The 3,095-nt window shown below is 45.4% G+C and overlaps 1 annotated feature.

Moving 5' to 3' along the window:
- Positions 2,285 to 2,449: a silencer, noted in NCBI's record as "fragment chr9:46796-46960 (GRCh37/hg19 assembly coordinates)". NCBI's record gives its function as "represses an EF-1alpha promoter that drives an FKBP-Casp9 reporter gene in an ReSE screen in HepG2 liver carcinoma cells {active_cell/tissue: HepG2}" and the evidence as "EXISTENCE:reporter gene assay evidence [ECO:0000049][PMID:32094911]".

The raw sequence follows: 3,095 nt of genomic DNA, 5'->3' as shown, positions 1-3,095 counted from the left end.
TAATTGGGAGCAAACATGAATGGACCACAACGTAGCCAATTTTCTATATACGATCTTTGCCATCCTAATTTAAAGGAATATTAATTCTTTCTTTTCCTCTTTCATTCCACAAACCTGTATTGACTACATCTAAGTTCTAAATGGTGCACTGGATGTTGAAAAAGTTGATGATGAGCAAGAACAAAATTCCTGCTTTCAGGAGACTTACAGTTCAATATGGGAAATGTAATTTGTTAAAATATAAAAGTGCAATTGTGTTACATGCTGTACGAAGTACATGTTGACATGTGAGTATATAATAAATGGGCTGGAGGCCAGAGGATTGCCAAACAGAATGGGCCTCCTGCTGAGATGAAAAGTTGAGCAGGGATTAGTTGGCGAAAGTGGAGGGACGACCCTTTCTAGGCAGGAGGAAGAACATGTACAGAATCTCTGAGGTGTGATGCAACAAAGTCGATATAAAAACTGAAGAAAGGTCTAATGTGGCTTAAATACAGAAGCCAGTAGGAGAGGAGTCGAAAAGAGGCTGGAGAAGTAGAAAGTGTCTGCATTCTGCAGGAACTTATATTGTATAAAAAGAATTTCTCTTTATTCTAAGTGCAATGTGAGTCATAGAACCCCACCCCTGAGGACTTTTGCAGTTTAAATAGCAATCTTGAGTAGTTTTCAAGTTTTTATTTTTTATCATTCTTCAGAATTCCTTTATTAAATAAACTCTTACATGAAACTCGAGATGGATGCATAGGTGGGTGGGCAGATGGATGGATGTATGGGTGGATGTTTGGATGAATGGGTGGGTGAATGGATGGGTTGGTGGGAGGGAGGGAGGTAAAACAATGGGAATAGTGTAGTTAAGCAGACACACCCTAGAGCCAGACTACAAAGGCTCGAATCCTTGCCTTGTCATTTACTAGCTGTGTGACCTTGAGTAGTCACTTAGACATTCAGCACTTCAGTTTCTCATCTGATGATGGGCATAGAAGTTGAAACCCATCTCATAGGAATATCGTGACTACTGCATGAGTGAATGTATGTGAAGCATTTATGATGGCACCTGGGGCAGTGGGTACTCTGTAAATGTTTCCTATTATTATTATTTGAGACGGAGCCTCACTCTGTTGCCAGGCTGGAGTGCAGTGGTGCGATCTTGGCTCATGCAACCTCCACCTCCCAGGTTCAGGTGATTCTCCTGCCTCAGCCTCCCAAGTAGCTGGGAGTACAGGCACACGCCACCATGCCCAGCTAATTTTTGTATTTTTAGTAGAGACAGGGTTTCACCATGTTGGCCAGGATTGTCTCGATCTCCTGACCTTGTGATCCACCCCCCTTGGCTTCCCAAAGTGCTGGGATTACAGGCGTGAGCCACCGCACCCGGCCTCCTGTTATTATTATTACTGCTGACTGAAGCTGGGGAGAATCTCCCCTGTCCCAACCAGTGCAATTCCTGAGACATCAGAGCTCCTGGGAAACATTGCTTTTAGGCCACTTAACTAGTTCCTTTTCTTATTTAATGGAGCAGATAATGAGGCCCAGAGAGAAGATATCACTTGCCCAGGCTCACACAAAGCCAGATTTTGAACCCAGGTCTCCTGGCTCTTGGGCTTTGTGATTCTCAGAGATCTTTCTGCATGTGATGAAAATCAAGGCAGTACATGAGGAATTTGAGAAGGTCCAGCAACCTGTGGCTCTGACCTTGACTGAGCTGCTCTCTCTGCTCCCGGACCCCTCCAGGATGGGTCCAGAGGCCTTCTGCTAACGAAGTAGCAACTCGAGCTCTCTTCTGGAGCGGTGACAGAGGTGGATGAAGGCAGTGAGCTATGAGCTTAGTTCACACTTGGACCATGTCTTAAGAGCATAGGATACAAGGTGTGACCTGCAGTACATGCAAAGTGTGGTGATTAATTCACAGATAAGCCCTGTCAGCTTCCCCTCATACCCTCCTTCTCACTCTTGCTCTGACATATTAGAGCAACTCCCTCTCTCCTCTCCAGAAAGATAGGCAGTCACAGGCAGTGGTGCCCCTCTGATATTTATGTGGGATCTCCAAGGTGATGGAGGAGAGAGGCCTTTAGTTTGTATCAAAACCAGAAGAACTGTTTATCTTCTATCAGGTGACAACCCGTCATTCCTTTACTTAACACATTGATTAGCATCTGCTATGTGGCCATGTGCTAGGCAGGGCCACTTTCTGAGTCCTGCGAAGTCAGTTGCATAGTGTCCTGCACTTGAAAGTGCCCCGCATTCGGTTTAACACTCTGCTGTCACATTAATAACGATATCTTTACACTTCTGTTTTGTCAGCGAAGTCCTGTAGGACAAGGCGGCATGCACAGGAGCAGAGGAGCCACATGTGATGTGTGTGGCCGCCGTTCCCTGCCGCCCCATTCACATAATCTTCTCCATGCCCCTGGGGAGCCATGCTGTGGGATGTGCAGGAAACTCAGCATGCTGTGAGTAGAGGCAGGGTTGTTAGTCAGTGACTGAGTGAGCGGGGCACTAACCATCTGGAGAGGCCTCACTTTCCACTGAAACCAGAATGCGCTTGTACACAGAAAGAAGGCAATGACATTTGAAGAGACACAAATGACTGAGGAGCCCTGTTGTATCCTCTCTTATTGGAGTTACTTCCCCGTGCTAACCGACCCCTGTGTTGAGACGACATGAAAGGAAAGGGCAGGACACTATGGCCACAGTGCCCTGAGGGTGCCCAATCTGTCTCAGAAGCTAAGCAGGGCCTGGCCTCGTTAGTACTTGTATGGAACAAGGAAAGGGGAAGAGAGAGCAGCCTATAGCTCCTGTCCTTTCAGTCCTTCGTTAGTGTGCATGATCCCAAGGTAGAGAGTGTTGCTGGAGTGTGTGGGTGTCAGGAAGTGAGATAGAAAGAGCTGGGCTAGTTTTGTGCAGCGTATCTACTGGTTTAGCAAGAATGAAATACATACACACGGATGAGCTGTGGAATGTGAATTGTGTAATTGTGTTGATTCTACATATGAGGTCAATGCTAATATTTTCATTTATACCTTGCGTCCTACAATATAAAAACAAATGGTAAAAAGTCACGATAATTTAAATTTATTTTGTATTTTATTTTATCT

This window comes from Homo sapiens, chromosome 9 (genome assembly GCF_000001405.40).
Source record: "Homo sapiens chromosome 9, GRCh38.p14 Primary Assembly".
NCBI classification, from domain to species: Eukaryota; Metazoa; Chordata; class Mammalia; order Primates; family Hominidae; genus Homo; species Homo sapiens.
The sequence above is the reverse complement of the archived record's forward strand: the minus strand, read 5'-3'. Positions and strand labels throughout refer to the sequence as shown.